The following is a 20,708-nucleotide window of genomic DNA, read 5'->3' as shown; positions in this document are numbered from 1 at the left end:
TAGTAGATTGACTTTTAGTTATTTGAGAAATCTCCATGTTGTTTTCCGTAGAGGTTTTACTAATTTACATTCCCACCAGCAGTGTATAAGCATTTCCTTTCCACCACATCCAAGCCAACATCTATTGTTTTTTGACTTTTTAAGAATAGCTATTCTGGTTGGGATAAGGTGGTATTCTCACTGTAGTTTTGATTTGCATTTCCCTGATGATTAGTGATGTTGAGCATTTTTCATATGTTTTTTGGGTATTTGTATATCTTCTATTGGTTTCTTATGGCATTCTTGTATCATTTTTGTTTTTGATTTCTTTATTCTTTTTTTTTCTTTCCATTCAAATTTTACTTGCCTATAGGATAAGGAAGCAAAATGTTTGAAAATTTTTGTTATGAGATGCAGCAATCCTTTACTTCCCCTGTTCCATTTTTTTTTTCCCTAAGACAAACCCTTTTAACTCTTCTTGTTCGGTTATTTTGATATCTCTAAATAACCTACTTGCTTCTCTACTTCCTGATTGCTGGTATAGCTACTATCTGTTGACTTCCTGCTATGGAGGGTGAAGATTAAGTCCTTCCATCACCCCAATACCTCATCACCTCAATACCTCATCACCCATGGGAACCTTATCCAACCCCCACTTCATTCTCCCAGTTGTGTTATAAGGTAATTTAGTTCCCAGGTTGGTGTTTTGTTTTGTTTTGACCTCTCTCTTTCATGAAAGACATTGTTGTAAGATATTTGTTAATTCTTAGTTATGTATTCATATATTTTTCAAATTTATTGAAATATAAATTATAATTATATCAAAGTATAAATTATTAAAATGTACAGTTCAATGAGTTTTGACAATTTTGTACACCAGGTAACTGTTCTCCACTCTCCCTAATCAATTTAGAGAACAGAAAAACACCCTCCTGTCCCTTTATAATCAGCCCTTCCCAGCTTCCACCCCAGGCAACTGTTGCTCTCATTTCTGTAACCTCATAGATTATTTTCACCTCTTTTAGAATTTCACAGAAATGGAAACACAGTCATGCCATAAATCCTCTAGATTCTTTCACTCGGGGTGCTTTTGAGATTCACCTATGTTATTATGTATATCTGCAGGTCACTCCTTTTTATGGATAGATAATATTCCATATAAAAACACCACCATTTTATTTATCCATTCATTTACTGATAGACATTTGTGTTGTTTCCTGTGTGATCCATTATGAACAATGTTGCTGTGGGCATCTCTATGAAAATCATTTTGTGGACATGTCTTTTACACTTTCTATATCAGCAGTCCCCAACCTTTTTGGCACCAGCGACCAGTTTTGTGGAAGACAGTTTTTCCACAGACGAAGAGGTGTGGGGTGTGGGGGATGGTTTAGGAATGAAATTGTTCCACCTCAGATCATCAGGCATTAGACTGTCATAGGAGAGTGAACCCCATTGTGAACTGCACATGTGAGGGATCTAGGTTCATTAGATTCTATGAAAATCTAGTGTCACTGCTGATCTGGCAGGAGGTGGAGCTCAAGTGGTAATGCTTGACCGACACTCACCTCCTGCTGGGTGGCCTGGTTCCTAACAGGCCCTGGACCGGAACTGGTCCAAGGGTTGGGGACCCCTGTTCCATATGATCTTATTTAATTTTGATTTGTTGTAGTAAACATAACATATTCCTTTCCCACATCAAGGGGACTGACAAAGAGTTACTTCATACATCCTTTGCCAAAGGGATCAGGACTGATCCTTGAAGAGTTAGTTCCTGGATTGTTCTAACCCTGGCTTTGACATACAATCAAGTGTTAAGGTGTCTTTAATGATCCAGAAAAAATAAATCATGGTGGTTGTCTTAGTTCATTCAGGCTGCTAGAACAAAGCACCGAGACTGGGTGGCTTATAAACAACAGAAATTTATGTCTTACAGTTACAGAGGCTGGAAAGTCCAAGATCAAGGCATCAGCAGATTTCTTGTCTGATGAGAGATCAATCAATGCTTCATATATGGTGCCATCGTGCTGTGTTCTCACATGGTGGAAGGGGTGAATGAATTCCTTTGGGCTTCTTTTATGTAGCAATTAGTCCCATTCATGAGGCACTTTGCCCTCATGACCTAATCACCTCCTAAAGGCCCCACCTTTTAATATTATTGTATTGGGGATTTGATTTCAATTTATGAATTTTGAGCAACACATTCAGACCATAACAGTAGTATCTGCTGAAGTGGCAGCAAGATAATTGTGGCAAAGGGTCCTAATCTTTTTAATATATATATCCAATAAAAAAAGTAAATGCTTTGGGAGTAACTTATTGAATGTCATTGTTTAGCTGAGAACAAGACTCTTGGAAATCTCATAGTCTGTCATTGTCGATAATTAAGGACAATAATCCTTCAAATAAAGTGTTTGTCACAGTTGCATTTTAAGACTGGATTAGTGTACATTTATAAACATGGTTGCAAATATGGTGTTGTATATCAAAAAAGTACAATTTAAAAATGCTACAGAAAATTAACTCAAAATGGTATTCTGATGGTCTTCATATTCTTTTTGTTGTCTCATTTCTTTTTTACCACCCCAGTGATATTTTTCTATGATCTAATCTGAGTAGTCTAGAAATAGACCTTTCTTTGCACATGGGCTTCAGAATGTTAAATTAAAAAAAAAACTTATATTTTCTTTTTTATTAACAACATTTGAAAGCAGGAATTATATTTTTTTTAAATTTTAGAGCTGAGTTACAAGGAGGAATTTTTTTTTGTATGCTTTGTCTTTTTCTTTTTTTTTCTTTAAAAGTATTTGGAAAGCAGTCTCATGAGGCTGGAGCATGGGTGTTTCATTTCTATCTTATTTTCTTCCTCCAGCAGCATGAGTGTCCTCTTGGCAACATGTATTTTTCTAATTTAGGAGTGTTTCTCTACATGTCAATCTTGTTCCTCTGGATGTCCATGGCATGGCTCATTGTGTTCTCCGTATTTCAGGACGATGCTGCAAAGCTTGAGCAGTATTTTATCCTCCCTGGACTCTCAGAGAGACATGGGAGTATTGATGTGCTTTGTTTCCAAGCTTAGACAAACATGTTGTAGTAGGGAAACAAACATGGAAACCTACTACTATTTCATAATGTCTTATTTCAAAGAAGTCTTATTTTTTTTTTAAAGTATCACTATTGAGATGTGCACACAATAGGGCTTTAAGAAGGATGTAGGCTGTTAAAATGCAGGGCAGTGAGGTGCCATGAGCAGTGGTTCCATTGTGCCTTGCTCAGTAAACATGCTGCTGCCCTGCCTCCTCAAAGGGCACAATTGATGGTTATTGATGACCTTTCTGTAAAACCACAACCTTCTGTCTTTTTCCTGATTTCAGGTAGATGCGCTGAGATTACGACTGGAAGAAAAAGAATCTTTCCTCAATAAAAAAACAAAACAGCTACAGGACCTCACAGAAGAGAAGGGGACACTGGCCGGTGAAATTCGTGACATGAAAGATATGTTAGAAGTGAAGGAAAGAAAAATCAATGTTCTTCAGAAAAAGGTGAGTAGCTGACATAAGACCTTCAAGTGGGGTATCATCCATGTTTTGTCATTTTAGAAAAATTTTGAGCACATGGAAAATAAGTGATCTTTTACGAATCTTTAGGAAGAATAGGCTGATTTTCATACTGGTGTTTCACTTACTGGTAGTTGCATCATGTCAATATTAGCGTTGCTTGATGAATTTTCTATTTGATTACCTAGAAACTAAATAGTGATGATAATTTTTTATTCAGCAGCTTAAACATAGAGAGAATTGTACAAATTTAGATACAAATCTAAAATAACCAAAGGTCCCAAAAGTTAATTTTTTCTTCCTGAGAGTTAGCAATGTATTTGTGGGTCCTGAATGTATTTTAGATACATTTGATAGTCACATAAACTGTAGTAGATCCTATTCTGTGAAGCCCATATAGATTTTTGGGAGGCAGGGGTAATGTTTTATACCCATTACTTAATTGAAATCAATGGAAAGAATGTATAATAATTCCCAGCCACAGTGATGCAACACAGAAGATGCTTGACCTTGTTAGGGCTCTTCCTTCCTTCCTTTAGCAGCTCGATTTCTCCCTTATAGGGGACCCTGATTTTGTGATAGCATTCCCGATTTTCTTTTGGAGAATTTCTGTTTGCTACTGTATATAGTTTTAGTGGGGCCATTGAGTATCCTGCCTTCTCTTAGTAAAAGGGTGGGTGTGAAGAGAAACCAATGGCTGCTCTTTTACAAAAAAAATAAAATGTGTTGGGAAGATACAAGGCTCACAGATGAACAGGGGGCCAGAGAGGAAATTAGGTGGAAATCAATGGTGGGCCGCAGGAGCCTCTGACCTGGATGCTGCCATCCACAGGCATGTTGTCAGGTGCTCTGCTGCAGCAAATGGAACTAACTGTCCCCTGTTCTTGGTGTCACCTGCTATCATCATTTCTCACCTGGCGTTGATCTACAGCATTCCAGATGTTTTTCTTGTCATGTTTCCTACAGCCTATTCTTAACACAGAAACTGGATTAATCCTCATAATGCATAAAACGGTTCATGTCACTCTCTGATAAAAACTCTCCAGTCACAACCAATTACATAATTTTGGGGGTCCATTGCATAATGTAAACATGACACCCCTGTCCCAAAATTGAGAATTTCAGGATGGTAACCGTAGAGCCTTAAACCAAGCATAGGGACCTGTGCAGCTGCACAGGTCAGAGGTCCATGGAGCTGTCCCCACCTCCATTGGCTTCCATTGTCACTCAGAGTAACAGTGGAAGGCCCAGGACACCCTGCAGGATTGGGCTCCCTCTGGCCAGTCTGGCCTCCTGTCTCACTGCCTTCCCCTTTGCTCAGACTACATCAGTCACTGTGGCCTTTGTGTTCTTCTGCAGACACATGAGGCATGCTGTCTTGGTACCTGACATTTACTGTAGCTTTTATGGGGACATTCTCATTCTGAACCCGTGCTGCCCATTGTGGTAGTCACGAGCCACTTGTAGCGATTAAGGCCTTGACTGAGGTGTGCTTTAAGTGTGAAGTGCACATCAGATCTGGAAGACTTATTATGAAAAAAATGGAAGCGCTTTCGTGAATCAATTTTTAGTTTGATTATATGGTGAAATGAAAATATTTTGGACATATCAGGTAAATGAAAATGAATTTCACTTGTTTCTTTTTACTTTTTTTAATGTAATTACTAGAAAGCTTAAAATTACCTGTGTGACTCACATTATGTTCCTATTGACAGAACTGCTCGAAATAGCCACATGGCTCATGCCTTTGCTTCTTTCAGGTCTCTGTTCAAATAGTGCTTTGTTACAGGCCTTTTTTGTCCATCCTGCATAAAATTGCATGACCACCCACATTCCTGCCCTCTGTCTTCTCTCATCCAGTTTTATTTTTTTAATTAGAACTTTTAACCATTTGACAAATGTGTTTTTGTGTGTATATGTATTTTTAAAATTTATATAATATAAATAAATATATATTTAAATATATATATTGTTCATTCATATTACTAGAATGTAAATTCCAAAAAGGCAGACTTTTCCCCCGTATGTTTAGTACCCAAAAGATACTAAATGCTTAATAAATATTTGTTGAATGAATGGATAAATGAACTTGCTCCAGAGTTAAAGTCTTGGGTAGGAGCATTTGATTGGCCAAGGTTATGTTACATGCTCACCCCCTACTGCCAGGAGCACTTGTTCTTGTGAATTTGATTCAAGGACCGAGCTATGCAAAGATGACAACAGTAGCTGGCATTCATTTGTTTCGGTGCAGAGGCTGTGATTAGATTATCAATGCATTCTAATATCTATTAGGATATTCCCCATGATTTTGTCTTTTCATAAGTGAGTTCTGTAATCTTTCTTAAACTCTGAGAGCCAGTGAGTCTCTTCCTGTTCTGTTATGGTCAGCCAGAGCCTAAATGGTACATTCATGTACAGAATAGAGTCTGTCACATTTTAAAAACAAAGTTAGATTCAAACCAAATTATAGAGGCTTTACCAAAGAGTTAAAAGTAGAGACACTGCATTCGTTAGAAACTCTCAGGATATTGGTGATTTGATGAATCATATTATTAATTCATTTCTGTAGAGCTCTTCATGGACAAGGTCCTGGTCATTGGATCCTCTTCCTCTTGTAGCACTAGCTAATTGACACAGAAATTTAGAAGAGAGCTCAGGAGAGATTACTAAGGACCCTTGAATCAAAGGGGCTGTCTAGGATACGTGGGAATAACAGAGAGATGGTTATAGTAGCCTGTCTTGGAGCATGTTCTAAGGATTCAGAAGAAGATTTTTCATTTAAAATCTCCGGCTGCAAATAATAACAAAAGCTTACATTTATTGAACTTGCTTATATGGAACACTGTATGCTGACTACTCTGTTTACTCATGTAAATAGTGCTTGTTACATGCACTGTTTACTTACTTTTGACCACTACCTAGTGAGATGGGCACAATTATTAATCTAAGGAATTGTGGAATATTGAGGCTTATGGTAAGCTTGCCCAAGATCACATAGCCTAGATAAAAGTGTTTTTTGTCTTTAGGAATATATAATAAAATAATTAATGTAAATTAAGAGAATAAGCCTTTTTTTAATTTCACTTTTTAGGATGATGACACCAGGTGTGAGAGTGAATTAGGGAAAAATATCACACTTGTTCATTTTGTCAGAAGTTGAGACTAAGTGCGCTCATTCTTGAGGAATAAATGACAACAGTTTTCTCAGTGAATATTTTGGGATGGCACTTCCAATGCATAAGTGACAAATGACCACTTTTGCCAATGCAAATGTTTTGCAGAATTTTAAACTTCCCTCCACAGCCAGACTCAAAAGTTTGGGAACCAGTTTGGAAGTTCTAGAACAAAACCAGTTGTATATTATGGCTCCTTTCGGCAACATGATTATGATATCACTTGTTGAAGTCATGTAGATAATGGGTTTGGAAATGTTTCATGTTTATTTGGAGAGGTTGCTCAGCTTCAGGTTTTTAAACCAAGTTTACCAATACATTTGGGAAGGAAATAAAACCACTGGCAATGTAGCAAAGCCACAGGAGCTCTATTATACCTGCAATGTGAAAGGGAAATAATCCCTAGAGAAGTGATGCATATGATTTAGAAGCTGACTCAAAATGTAGAAATAATACAAAAACGAATGGGCCAATGAAACATTGTCTTTAAGTCTGGAGACTCCTTGGAGCTTAGACTGCATTCAGCATAATTGGCTGTTTTAGGGCAGGCTTGGATTGGAATAGCATAAGCTTTGGATTAGGGTGTGTTGGCATGGAAGAATAATAAGCTCATGTCAATGTCAGACATGCAGTATTACTTAATATTTCTTTCTCATAGACTCTTTCGCAACCCTGTTTTGATGCCAGTAGAACTAGGTATGCTCCTTTCCTGGCCACGTTTACCCTGGCAAAGCTAGGCTTGCATTTCATATCTGTCAGCTTTGCCTTCAGAGCTCTGAGTCTCAGAAGTCTTGTGTGCTCCATAAGCCATGTAGACAGGCATGGACATGATGCTCTAAGCATTTCATCACTTGAAGAAGGAAGTGAGGCTGAATAAACAGAAAACCCCAGGTGGAGGAGCATCTCTGATGAAGCTTTTGTGGGAAGACAGAGATCATCTAGAGTGGATTTTTGGCCCTACTAACATACTTTTGGCTGTACTCTGTAATTCCAAGACATGGAGTTCTCTTAGCAGGGGACAAAAATGCACATGTATGAAAAGTGTTTAGTGAAATGTTCCCGTGGGGCTGTGACATTGAAATCAGAAGAGCGGTATGGTTTCCATGCTGCAGCCATAGTTTTCTGTTCCCATACCTGAATTTAAACTGTAACTGATGAAGTGCTACCTGACTATTGAGTTTTTGTAGGAAATGTCATAAAACCTGATGACATTGTACATTTGGAAAGTGTATAATGCCCAGGATTTTAGGACATGGTAGCATTATTTGAACCCGATCAAATTCAGACTGTTATGTAACACATAGATTCTTACAGCATAAACTTGCTACCCACGAATTTTTTTAAACCCATTAAAATTGGACAAAAATTCTATCTCCATTTTCTTTCTAGGCCTTAGTCCCATAAACAATGTGAATTTATAGAGCAGAGGTACTTTATTTATTAAAGGTAGAAAAACAGATGGCGATCTCTCTGGAAGCCAAGTCCACTGGCTGCCTACTGAACTTTGTGGATTGCCCTGTGGGTTGGAAAAGGTAGAGAGGGGTGAATGGAGTTGGCTCCTGGGAGTGGTGTATATGGACCTTTCCACTTCAGCAGGTTGATTTTACCTATTTGGAAGTATGGTGGTGAAAATTCTGAATGATGATAACCTCAGGGGTAAGGACACTGTGGGATTACTGAGTTTCTTCTGGAAAAAAAAATTTTTTTATAGTAATACCTGAGAAGATAGATACAGAACATAGAGATTTCCCTGTTAGTGTAAAATTGAAGTAAAGTGTGGAGGACTTTTTGACTCACTTGAGCTCTTTCTCAGTGTTTAAACATCTAGTTGAGCTTTTATACTTATTATTGGCAAACCTCCTAATTTTTTGAACATGTGCAACATCATATTCATTTCACATTTACTGAGTGTTTCCTATGTGTCAGTCAGTCACCACTGTAGGTCCTGGAGGTTCAGGGAGAAATGAGACAATCTCCAGTCCTCAAGAAACTGACAGTCTAGTTGTGGAGACAGACATGCATAATCCTAAATATAAGTGCAGTGGAGAACAACATATGGCACGTTACCAGAAGGAAATCACTTGATGGATGCAAACAGCAGAAGCCACTTCTGGCTACCTTAAGCAAAAGGGAATTTTTTGTAAGAATATCTGGGGTCCCAATATCTGGTCTGTAGAACCAGATTGGGGATGATCAAGAACCAGGGCAGCCCTAAGAGACCAAGAGAAGGCAAACACCACTTTGATTTCATAACCAGGAGTGTCTGGTCAGCTGTCTTTTCTGTTGACGGCTGCTCTCCCTCACCCTCTTTCCTCTGCCCTCACATTGCACTGTCAGTCAAGAGTCAAAGTCCTGGGACAGAGCTCCAAACTTCACACAACTGACTCTCATTGGCAGGATCTAATCAGACCCTGCCTTTATAAGAGTCTGGGATATGTGACTCCAAGCTTTACACTTGAGCTTTCTGCTCTGTTTTTATGTCACTCAGGGAAGTCTTTGCTGACACTGCAGTCTGGGGGAGGTTTTACACTCTTAGAGAACTATTTCTTGGTTCAGTTTGGAATTATGCATCCCTTTGGTGAATGTTGGCTTTCCTCTCAGGGCTTGAGTGCCCCAACCATAATCATCAAGATACCTCCAGCTTCTCGCAAAATTCTTGGCATGTGATGCTCCTTGATCAATGTGCATTGAGTGAATAAATGAGCTCAGCAAATTCTCAATGAATGAGAACTTGGGAGAGGAGAAATTGCTTTGAGATCTACTTCTCACCCAAGAATATTGTTAGCTCTGAGGAGAGTCATTTGCCCCAGCAAAATGTCAAGCCCACTCTTGTTCCCAGCACGGTATGTTCTGTGTAGGCTGCAAGATGGAACCATACCACGAATAATAAAACACAGAAGAGGAAATGGCTGTTGCTGTACCCACACCTAACATCTCCAGCCTTGGTTCTATTACCCTAGGAAGGTAAAAAGGGATGAAGGTTTGAGTAAGGGTGTTTCGCCACTCTTCCTTCATTTTCCTTTTTAATAAAAAGAAATGTGGTATTTACAGAGAATATCATCTTATTCTGCAAAGAGAATGCTTCCTTCTCTAGTTCTCACTTCTAATTTATTGGATTGTTAGGAAGGTGATATTTTATGAGAGTGATACAATGAAATTTCTGGTTATATGTGGTCATTTCCAATTATTTGCATTTCCATGCAAATAATTATTTTTATAATAAAATGATTATATTATATACTATTTCTTGAACCCTTACTGTATACCAGACACTGCACTAAATGATTTGCATCCTTAGGTTATGCGTTCTTGTAACAGACCTAATGGCTTATAGGCACTATCATAATCTTGGTTTTTAAAATGAGAGACTATGGTTTAGAGAAGAACTCGTTCAGAGTGACGTGGCAGGAAAGGGATGGAGCTATTCTTAACCACCACACTATTCTGGTGTTTTTCCTAGTTTATGATCCTGCTTCCCTCATGAGACAAGTGGGATCATTAACTTTTACAGATTAGCTAAACTACAATTTGAGCAACATACCTGAGGTTGATATATAAGAACCCCTCTTTTTAGGACAAAACCAGCAGAGATGCAGCCACTAAATAATGTAATTTTAAAAAAGTAGGGAACGAATTACATGAATAAAATATAACACCAGGTCTGTATTTAAAAATATGATAAGTTATATGTAGAAAAAAGAAAGATTGTGGTGGCTTTCAATATCTGTTTAATTTTTCTTCCCCCAGAAGCTCTTTATGTACCATTCTAAGATTGTTTTACTGCTTCATTTTTAAAGGATTGACGTGTTTGCTCTGTTGGTAGTTTCCCTTTCCTTTGGTTGTTGGCTTAAAGGACTGAGACCTCAAAAGATGATTTGAGACATGTAAGCAGCTTTCCTGGACTAGACGAAGGTGAACTCTTGAGTTGGGAGATCCCTCATTCCTTGCCAAGTCCAGAGTGGAAACGGTCTGGGAAGCTGCTCCACTTTGCAGTGAGCTGTTCACATAGGTCTGACCTCCTTGGTGTAGGCAAACTCACTTTGCATCTGAAGCCAGGAACTAGCCTGGTGTCCCAGGGATTGGGATCACAACTAGGGTGGCCATGGGTCTAAGGCAGAGGTTCTTAACCAGGGCCTGTAACAGAGGCTTAGAACCTCCCTACTCCCCTGGGAACATTTGCTAATGTCTGGAGATATTTTTGGTTGCTATAGCTGGGAGGATGCTCTAAGCATCTCATGGGTAGGGTCTATTCCAGGGGTGCTGCTAAATGTCCTAATATGCAGAGGACACCTCTGCCCCCCAATAAATAATCATCCAGAGAAGCCCTGGTCTACAGGAGTCCTTTCCTTCTTGTGTAAGGATCACTACTGATCTTGGTTCTCTAGGCCCCCTGCCTTGAGGTAGCATTTCTTAAAAGTTTTTACTTAGTATAACAGACCTTTCTCCCACCTTTCAGTATTATCTCAGTTGAAATGCATAACATTTTTACCTGCACTTTTTCTGTGGCATTATTTTAGGCAGCTTACAGAGTTGAATTTCTCGTGTATGTTTGTGTGTGTGCACATGAGTGTGTATGGTGTTTGGACTGTTACTCTTTCTGTCTAACAATTTTCACATATAGTAATCTATACTTATATATGTGAGTGTGTATGACACTCTTGAACCCTGAAAATTATTGCAATTATTAAAACTGATCTGACTATTCTTATCATGATATCGACTAATTTGTTAGGGGGGTGCTAGTCAGGTGTAGTACAGGGAACATGTAATAGGAATAAAGCATCTGATTGAGACAGAACAGAGATAGCCCACCCAGCAGATAACACTCAGTTTAAATTTCTTTGGCTTAATACCAGCATTGCAGTCATTTGAAAAATAGTGACCTTTAATATGACTTTTTTTCCTGACTGAAAATAAAAACACTTTATTTTATCAACCTTTTGGGTTGAAAATCTTATTTCTATATTCACATTAAATATATCTTTTCATACATTTGATCTAGTCATTTGGGATAGGGTAAAATTTTCTGTTCAATGTAGATTGAATGTAGATTTAACTAATACAGTGCCTAAAAATTTGCAATTAAAAAGTATAATCCAGGTTAGTGTTTGTGATTTGCCAAATTCTTTTGAACAGTGTCTTTCCTGGTTTGGAAAATATAACAAAAATCTAACTTAATATATTACACAGAAAGTTATTTATATGTATTTTGTGTTGGTAGGGTAGCAGTATGTCACCGGACCTAAGAATAGGCATCTTTGCTCTTGCATCCTTTAATACAGTGTGTCTTGACAGCTTGCTTGGGGGTTCTAACAGGGGAGCACAGCTACTCGTATGCCCTTGACTGAAGATCGGTCCTCCTCTATTGGGGATGTCGTCCTCTTTGACCAAGCATGTAGCTTTGGGAGGGACACACATGGAGTGGTGAGGGAGGAAGGGGACACCCGCCTACCAGCCAGATCAGCCGAATCAACCCTGGCCATCAATGGGGTGACAGATGTTGCAGCCAGATTGCCCTCACATCCAATACAGTGTGTCTTCATCATGGTGCGAAGGTGATGCCAAGGGTTCTAGTGCTAATTAAATTCCACAGGGCAAGTAATCACCAACAGTGTATGGCTGCTGCACTTGGCTGGAATTATTTGCCCCAATGTTGGTGAGATGGTTTAGGAAAAAACATCTTGGTGACTTTAACCAATTGATCGATACTGTTGGTCAGAAGTCCATTTTGCTCCAATGAATGATATTCAAAAGTCACTTTGTGTGTGCTTCATGTCTCTTGGATAGAGATTGTGGCTTCCATGGTAAAACTAAGCTCCTTTGTGAAGCAACAAATTCAGTAGCCTCCTCCTTTGTATACATTGCTTTTCTTCTAAGGGATTTGAAATTGTCCTTCTCCTAGAGATGACATTGATGAAATGGTATTTTATTATCAAAGGAACCAAAGCTAGGAAAGTTACCCTCTAATGGAACAATTAAAGAGAGTCAGGGAAGCCTGCCCATTCATTCATCCATTCATTCAGCATCTACAGGCACTGTCTTCACATAGCTCCATTTTTCTTCCTTTGGGCTCTAGTGTACACAACCCAATATTATTTGATTTTAAAAGACATGTAACTTTGGTTATGCTGATGAAGCCTGGACAGTCTTGAAGACAGGAAGACATGAGACAACAGTAAACCTGGAAGAGACTTGATGGAGCCTCCTAGTCCAACCTCTTCATTTCTCCACTCAAGATATAGAGTACCTGAGGGATGATGTGACTTATGTAGGGTCATGGAGCTAATTAGTGACAGAGCCTGGGCTGTACTCAAGTGTCTGAATCTGATTACACTTTTCCTTTCCTTCTTTCCATGTCCCTATGGCATATGAGGCCTTGGGCACCATTGCCCTACTCTGGCCTGTTTGTTTGCCTGCCCTCCTGCTGTCCAGCCATCCAATAGTCCACATTCAGCATCGGTAATGAGCTGGCTGCCTCAAAGGTACTGGGGATACATATATTATTGAAGAAGTTGTAATTTCTGCCCACTGGGAACTCAGACTCATGGAGAAAATTACTAAATAGGCAAGTTACAGGACTGTAGATGATGTGTGCTCTATCAGCCAGGTATACTACACATAGGAGGGGCACCTCACCTAGCCAGGGGAGTGGGATGAATAAGGAGGACTTCCTGGAAAAGATAATGGCTAAATTGAGAGATGAGGGGCTAGGAGTAGTGGTCCAGTCAAAGCGAGAATAGCATTTGCAAAGGTTTGGCAGGAAGAGGCAGCACGGTGCATTTGGTGGAATTAGAAGTAATTTAATATAGCTGGACCACACTTTCTTGGCCCACTTAGGAAACAGATTTCACATTTCGGAGCTTTTCTATTCTTTACGTCTTCTAGCAATCAAATATATTTTATAATTAAAGTTGGAGAGTCATTTTGACTTCTATATTATAAATGTTCTAGTCCTTTGTGACTTGCAAGTGGCAATAACAATTATCAGTGTTATTTAAAAATGCAGTTCAGGGCCAGATCATGCTGAGAATTGATTCTCGTTCAATGAAAAAGCTGATCCCACCCAGGGGAGGCAAATTCTCTTTTAAATAAATATTTGCTTCTGGGTTAAGACCTTATATTCTATACTCAATTTCACTATGATGGATTTTTTTTTTTTTAAAAAAGGTTTGTTTATAATTACTTGCAAAATTCCTTGAAGATTTAAAATAAAAATGCCCAGAGTGCCCTGACCACGGCTGCTACCCTAACGGGTACAGGCATCTTGACACATCTGTCAATCCAAGCTGCCAGCTATTGCTTATAGTTTTTGAAATGGGATTAGAGGTGGTTGAGCCTTTACATATTTCAGTCTGCAGATGATTCTGTTTTTCTCCCTACATACTCCCAGGCCATTTGATTTAAATCAACCTTATTTATGTGGGAAGGAAAATGTTCTGTCTTTTTTTACTTATCTTTTGTTTGCCAATGGACTCTGCTTTGCTGTGAAGAATTTTACACATATCTATATTGGCATTTATCATGTTATATTGTAAGGGAAGTCCATGATTCAAAATGTCTATAATACCTGTTTTAGTTTCCCATAAGTATAAATGTAAAGTAAGGGTAATGTGTTCTTGTGGGGCATATTGCTTCACAGTTACTGTGGGTAATAGCATTTTTCTACTGTTCTGATACTGCAGTCTTTGTACTTTGTACTTTCCTTTGTACTCACCTGATTATACTACAACTTCTGCAGACTAAAATATGTAACTGCTTTAAACAGACTGTTTTCATGGAAGTTGTATTCTAAATTAATGGCACAAACTATATGGCAATTTGGAGCCTTTGTCATAACATTTTTATCATACCTCCTTTTTAGATTGCTGATTTTGAGAACCAGCAGTAGCACCCACATATAATCAGTCCTTAGATAATACAATTATGGTTTATAAAAGTCATTTATAACTCTAACAAAAGTACTGTGGTAGATAGAATTCTAAGATGGACCCCTGAGCTTTCCCACTTCCCTGTTGTATGTGCTTTGAATAATGCCTGGGACTATGAATATGATGGATTTGGAAGTGAATTTTTCCCTAGAGCCTCCAGAGAGATGCTCTTCTGGCTGACGTCTTGATTTCACCCTTGTAATACCCCAGGCAGAGACCCCAGCCACAGGCAGAGACCCCAGCCACACCTTGACAGACTTCTGACTTACACAACTGTGAACTAATAAATGGATGTTGTTTTAAGTCATTTGGTGGCATTTTGTCATACAGCAATAGAAAACTGATGTAAGTACATGTTAAAATAACTTTTCAGAGTTCCCAAACCTCTCATGGAAATTCAGAGGCAAGTAAACAGTAGTAGAGTTCACAGGATACTGACAAAGAATGCTGCTGGTCCACTAAAGTGGCACCGCTAGGAACTAAAGCAGTTTTCAATACCTTGACTGCTCAGCATAGAAATAATGGCAGTCTTCCCACACAATAATAGTGGGAGACCTTAACACCCAACTGTCAATATTAGATAGGATCATTGAGACAGAAAATTAACAAGGATATGCAGGGCTTGAGCTCAGCTCTAGATCAAGTGGACCTGATAGACATCTACAGAACTCTCCACCCCAAAACAACAGAATATATATTCTTCTCAGTGCCACATGGCACTTACTCTAAAATCGATCACAAAATTGGAAGTAAAACACTCCTCAGCAAATGCAAAAGAACTGAAATCATAACAGTCTCTCAGACCACAGTGCAACCAAATTAGAACTAAAGATTAAGAAACTCACTCAAAACCACACAACTACATGGAAATTGAACAACCTGCTCCTGAATGATTCCTGGGTAAATAATGAAATTAAGGCAGAAACCAAGTTCTTTGAAACCAATGAGAGCAAAGAGATAATGTACCAGAATCTCAGGAACACAGCTAAAGCAGTGTTAAGAGGGAAATTTATAGCACTAAATGCCCACATCAGAAAGCTAGAAAGATCTCAAATTGACACTGTAACATCAAAACTAAAAGATCTAGAGAAGCAAGAGCAAACCAATCCAAAAATTAACTGAAGACAGGAAATAACTAAGATCAGAGCAGAACTGATGGAGATAGAGACACAAAAGATCCTTCAAAAAAATCATGAATCCAGGGGCTGGTTTTTTGGAAAAAAATAAATAAATAAATAAAATGGACCACTAGCTAGACTAATAAAGAAGGAAAAAGAGAAGAATCAAATAGACATAATAAAAAATGATAAAGGAGATATCACCACTGACCCCACAGAAATACAAACTACCATCAGAGAAGAGTACAAACACCTCTATGCAAATAAACTAGAAAATCTAGGTGAAATGGAGAAATTCCTGGACACGTACACCTTCCCAAGACTAAACCAGGAAGAAGTCAAATCCTTGAATAGACCAATAACAAGTTCTGAAATTGAGGCAGTAATAAATAGCCCGCCAACCAAAAAAAGCCCAGGAGCAGATGGATTCACAGCCAAATTCTACCAGAGGTACAAAGAGGAGCTGGTAGATTCCCTCTGAAATATTTCCAAACAATTGAAAAGGAAGGACTTCTCCCTAACTCATTTTATGAGGCCAGCATCATCCTGATACCAAAATCTGGCAGAGACACAACAACAACAAAAAATTCAGGCCAATACCCCTGATGAAAATCGATGCGAAAATCCATAATAATATACTGGCAAACTGAATCCAGCAGCACATCAAAAAGCTTAGCTGCCATGATCAAGTTGGCTTCATCCCTGGGATGCAAGTCTGGTTCAACATACGCAAATCAATAAACATAATTCATCACATAAACAGAACCAATGACAAAAACCACGTGATTATCTCAATAGATGCAGAAAAGGCCTTTGATAAAATTCAACATCCCTTCATGTTAAAAAGTCTCAATAAACTACGTATTGGTGGAACATATCTCAAAATAATAAGAGCTATTTATGATAAACCCACAGCCAATATCATGAATCGGCAAAAGCTGGAAGCATTCCCTTTGAAAACTGGCACAACACAAGGATACCCTCTTTCACCACTCCTATTCAACATAGTATTGGAAGTTCTGACCAGGGCAATCAGGTAAGAGAGAGAAATTATTCAAATAGGAAATGAGGAAGTAAAATTGTCTCTATTTGCAGATGACATGATCCTATATCTAGAAAACCCCATCGTCTCAGCTCAAAAGCTCCTTAAGGTGATAAGCAACTTCAGCAAAGTCTCAGGATACAAAATCAATGTGCAAAATCACAAGCATTCCTATACACCAACAATAGACAAGCAGAGAGCCATGAATGAACTTCCATTCGCAATTGCTACAAAGAGAATAAAATACCTAGGAAACAGCTAACAAGGGATGTGAAGGACCTCTTCAAGGAGAACTACAATCCACTGCTCAAGGAAATAAGAGAAGACACAAACAAATGGAAAAATATTTCATCCTCGTTAATAGGAAGAATTAATATTGTGAAAATGGCCATGCTGCCCAAAGTAATTTAGAGATTCAGTGCTATTCCCATCAAACTACCATTGACATTCTTCACAGAATTAGAAAAAAATACTTTAAAATTCATCTGGAACCATAAAAGAGCCCATGCCTATGTAGCCAAGACAATCCTAAGCAAAAAGAACAAAGCTGGAGGCATTATGCCGCTTGACTTCAAACTCTACTACAAGGCTATGGTAACCAATACAGCATGGTACAAGTACCAAAACAGACACATAGACCAATGGAACAGAATAGAGATCTCAGAAATAATACCACACATCTACAACCATCTGATTTTCAACAAACCTGACAAAAACAAGCAATGGGGAAAAGATTCCTTATTTAATAAATGGTGCTGGGAAAATAGGCCATATGCAGAAAACTGAAACAGGACCACTTTCTTATACTTTAACAAAAATTAACTTAAGGTGGATTAAAGACTTAAATGTAAAACCCCAAACCATAAAAACCCTAGAAGAAAATCTAGGCGGTACCATTCAGGAAATAGGCATGGACAAAGATTTTATGATGACATCATCAAAAACAATTGCAACAAAGCAAAAATTGACAAATGGGATCTAATTAAACTGAAGAGCTTCTGCACAGAAAAAGAAACTATCATCAGAGTGAACAGACAACCTACAGAATGGGAGAAAACTTTTGCAATCCACCCCTTTTACAAAGGTCTAATATCCAGAATCTACAAGGAACTTAAACAAATTTACAAGAAGAAAAACAACCCCATCAAAAAGTGGGCAAAGGACATGAACAGACACTTCTCAAAAGAAGACATTTATGTGGCCAACAAACACATGAAGAAAAGCTAAGCAAAGCTCAACATCACTGATCATTAGAGAAATGCAAATCAAAACCACAATGAACTACCATCTCATGCCGGTTAGAATGGCGATTATTAAAAAGTCAAGAAACAACAGATGCTGGTGAGGCTGTGGATAAATAGGAATGCTTTTACAGTGTTGATGGGAATGTAAATTAGTTCAACCACTGTGGGAGACAGTGGTGATTCCTCAAAGATCTAGAACCAGAAATACTGTTTGACCCAGTAATCCCATTACTGGGTATATACCCAAAGGAATATAAATCGTTCTGCTATAAAGATACATGCACATGTATGCTCATTGCAGTACTATTCATAATAGCAAAGACATGGAATCAACCCAAATGCCTGTCAATAATAGACTGGATAAAGAAAATGTGGTATATATACACCATGGAATACTATGCAGCCATAAAAAGGAATGAAATCATGTCCTTTGCAGGGACATGGATGAAGCTGGAAGCCATCATCCTCAGCAAACTAACACAGGAACAGAAAACCAAACACCACATATACTCACTCATAAGTGGGAGCTAACAATGGGAATACATGGACACAGGGAGAGGAACAACACACACCAGGGCCAGTCAGTAGGGGCAGGGGGGTCACAGGGGAAGGGAGAGCATCAGGAAAAATAGCTAATGCACACTGGGCTTAATACCTAGGTGTTGGATTGATAGGTGCAGCGAACCACCGTGGCACACATTAACCTATGCAACAAACCTGCACGTTCTGCACATGTATCCTGGAACCTAAAATAAAATGCTTTTTTTTTTTTAAAAAAGAAAGTAGTCCATGTCAGAATATCATGAGGCTGGGCACGGTGGCTGAGGTGGAAGGATTGCTGGAGCCCAGGAATTTGAGAGCAGCCCGGGGAACAGAGTGAGACCTGTCTCTACACAAAATTAAAAAATTAGCTGGGCATGGTAGTGCGTGCCTGTAGTTCCACCTGTTCGGGAGGCTGAGGTGGGAGGATTGCTTGAGTCCGGGAGGTTGAGGCTGCAGTGAGCCATGATCATGACACTCGCTGAAGCCTGGGCAACAGAGCGAGACCCTGTCTCATAAAATAAAGAAAAAAAATAAATAATGGGAGTCTTGATGATGTTTTACAATTTTAGGGGGACCCGGATTATTTAAAAATGTATGCATAGGAAATGAGCCTTTATTACAGCTTTCAGATTGTAGTATTTTAGATAAAATACCTAAGATTTCCTAAAATGCTATGTTGTATCTTTATGTCTCTCTCCTCATTAAACCCTGAGTTCAGCAAAGGAAGTGACTGAGTCTTAGTCATTCTTTTATCCTTAGTACTTAGCACAGTGCTGGCATGTTATAGGTGCTTAATAAATGTTAGCTGGAAAACTGAAATGTAATAGATTGAGTAAATAAATAAGTCCAAAGTTCTTTTTGGATTCAGAATGAGTAAATAAATAGGAATGGCTGTGTTCCAATAAAACTTTATTTACAAAAACAGGCAGTGGGCCAGTTTGGCCCATGGGCTGCAGTTTGCTCAACTCTGGTGTAGATCACAAGTTCTTACAGCCTCTAGGCAACTCTATCATATAGCAACCTTCATGGCAAGTTTGAGATTTTAAAAGTGTACTCTAAATATTTAATAGAGTTAAACAAAGTTCACTTCTTTTCCAGACTATATTTACTGTTTGCCTCAGACATCCTTTCTGGTGCAAAGGGAAGTAAGTCGTTCGTTCCCAAGGGTGAGGTCTTCCTTAGTTTCTGTTGCGTTCTGTAGCTTTTTTGTGAATAAAGTCTGAATGAAGCAAAGCTAAGCAAACAGGATGTGCTTGAATGAATAGCACTCATTGACATGGAGTGGAGATATTTCTTTCTTTAGTTATTAAAATAAGAAGTTAAATTCTTAAGGTCACATATGATAGACTGATTTATAAAAGTTTATGAAGGGCGGCATACACACACCAAGGCTGTCTCCAAATGGAATGTCTGTGAACTTGTGAACAGCTGAGGGCATGGACAAGGGTGGCCAGGTGGGAAGGTAGGAATAGAGGCAAAGGTCCTTTGCTGCAGTTCCATGTTACCGACACGTTTCTTAGGGCTTGCCCGGTAGTGTTCTTTGGGACAGGTAGATGGCAGGTATGAAATGTCAGGTAGTCAGGGGAAAACAAACATGGGGCATTTGACCAGAGCTATTTAACCTATTGATTCTTTACCTAGGAATTCATTCTAGGAAAAGATTGAGGATGTAGGTATTGATTTAGCTACAGGCTTGTTCACGGCATAGTTCTTTAAAAAAATTTTTTTTCCAGATCAGTGAAAGCATTCCCAAGTGGAGGAGTAACTAAATAAATGATGGTATATTCATACATGGAAATTCTGCCAGTAGACATGATGTTATAGATGAGTATATTTATGAGTATATTTAATGATATAGAAAGATATTCACTCTATTTTGTTAATGGAAATAAACTTTACAATATGTATGTACAGAGAAGTATCAGAAAATGCCTATTTTCCCACACCCTCAACACCACTTTATAGTATAACCTGATTTTTATTTTAAAAACTTTATACACAGACATAACTTATGCATACATACATGCATGCTTCAGTATAATTAGTTTATTAAGGGCATGAACTGTGACAGGCCTGGCTTTGAATCTCAGTGTTGTTACTTAAGGTCTTTTTAATCTTTGGCAA

The 20,708-nt window shown here is 38.5% G+C and overlaps 1 protein-coding gene and 1 pseudogene across 21 annotated transcripts in view, besides 1 other annotated feature; one reads left to right on the top strand and one right to left on the bottom strand.

Moving 5' to 3' along the window:
* The window catches only part of ERC2 (ELKS/RAB6-interacting/CAST family member 2), a 960,157-nt gene that overhangs the window by 384,130 nt on the left and 555,319 nt on the right, over window positions 1-20,708 (top strand). For all 21 annotated transcript variants that reach the window (NR_132749.2, XM_017006156.2, XM_047447950.1 and 18 more), the window contains one exon: window positions 3,354-3,521. Coding sequence is in view for 20 of the 21 variants with exons in the window: in XM_017006156.2 (XP_016861645.1) it covers window positions 3,354-3,521 (168 nt within the window). In the remaining variant the exon portion in view is untranslated. The remainder of the gene's footprint in view (window positions 1-3,353; window positions 3,522-20,708) is intronic.
* Window positions 1,426-1,600: a silencer, noted in NCBI's record as "fragment chr3:56116766-56116940 (GRCh37/hg19 assembly coordinates)". NCBI's record gives its function as "represses an EF-1alpha promoter that drives an FKBP-Casp9 reporter gene in an ReSE screen in HepG2 liver carcinoma cells {active_cell/tissue: HepG2}" and the evidence as "EXISTENCE:reporter gene assay evidence [ECO:0000049][PMID:32094911]".
* RN7SKP45 (RN7SK pseudogene 45) lies at window positions 11,997-12,234 on the bottom strand (annotated as a pseudogene).

The sequence above is a fragment of the Homo sapiens genome, chromosome 3 (genome assembly GCF_000001405.40).
Source record: "Homo sapiens chromosome 3, GRCh38.p14 Primary Assembly".
NCBI lineage: Eukaryota > Metazoa > Chordata > Mammalia > Primates > Hominidae > Homo > Homo sapiens.
This window is presented reverse-complemented; position numbering and strand designations above follow the sequence as displayed.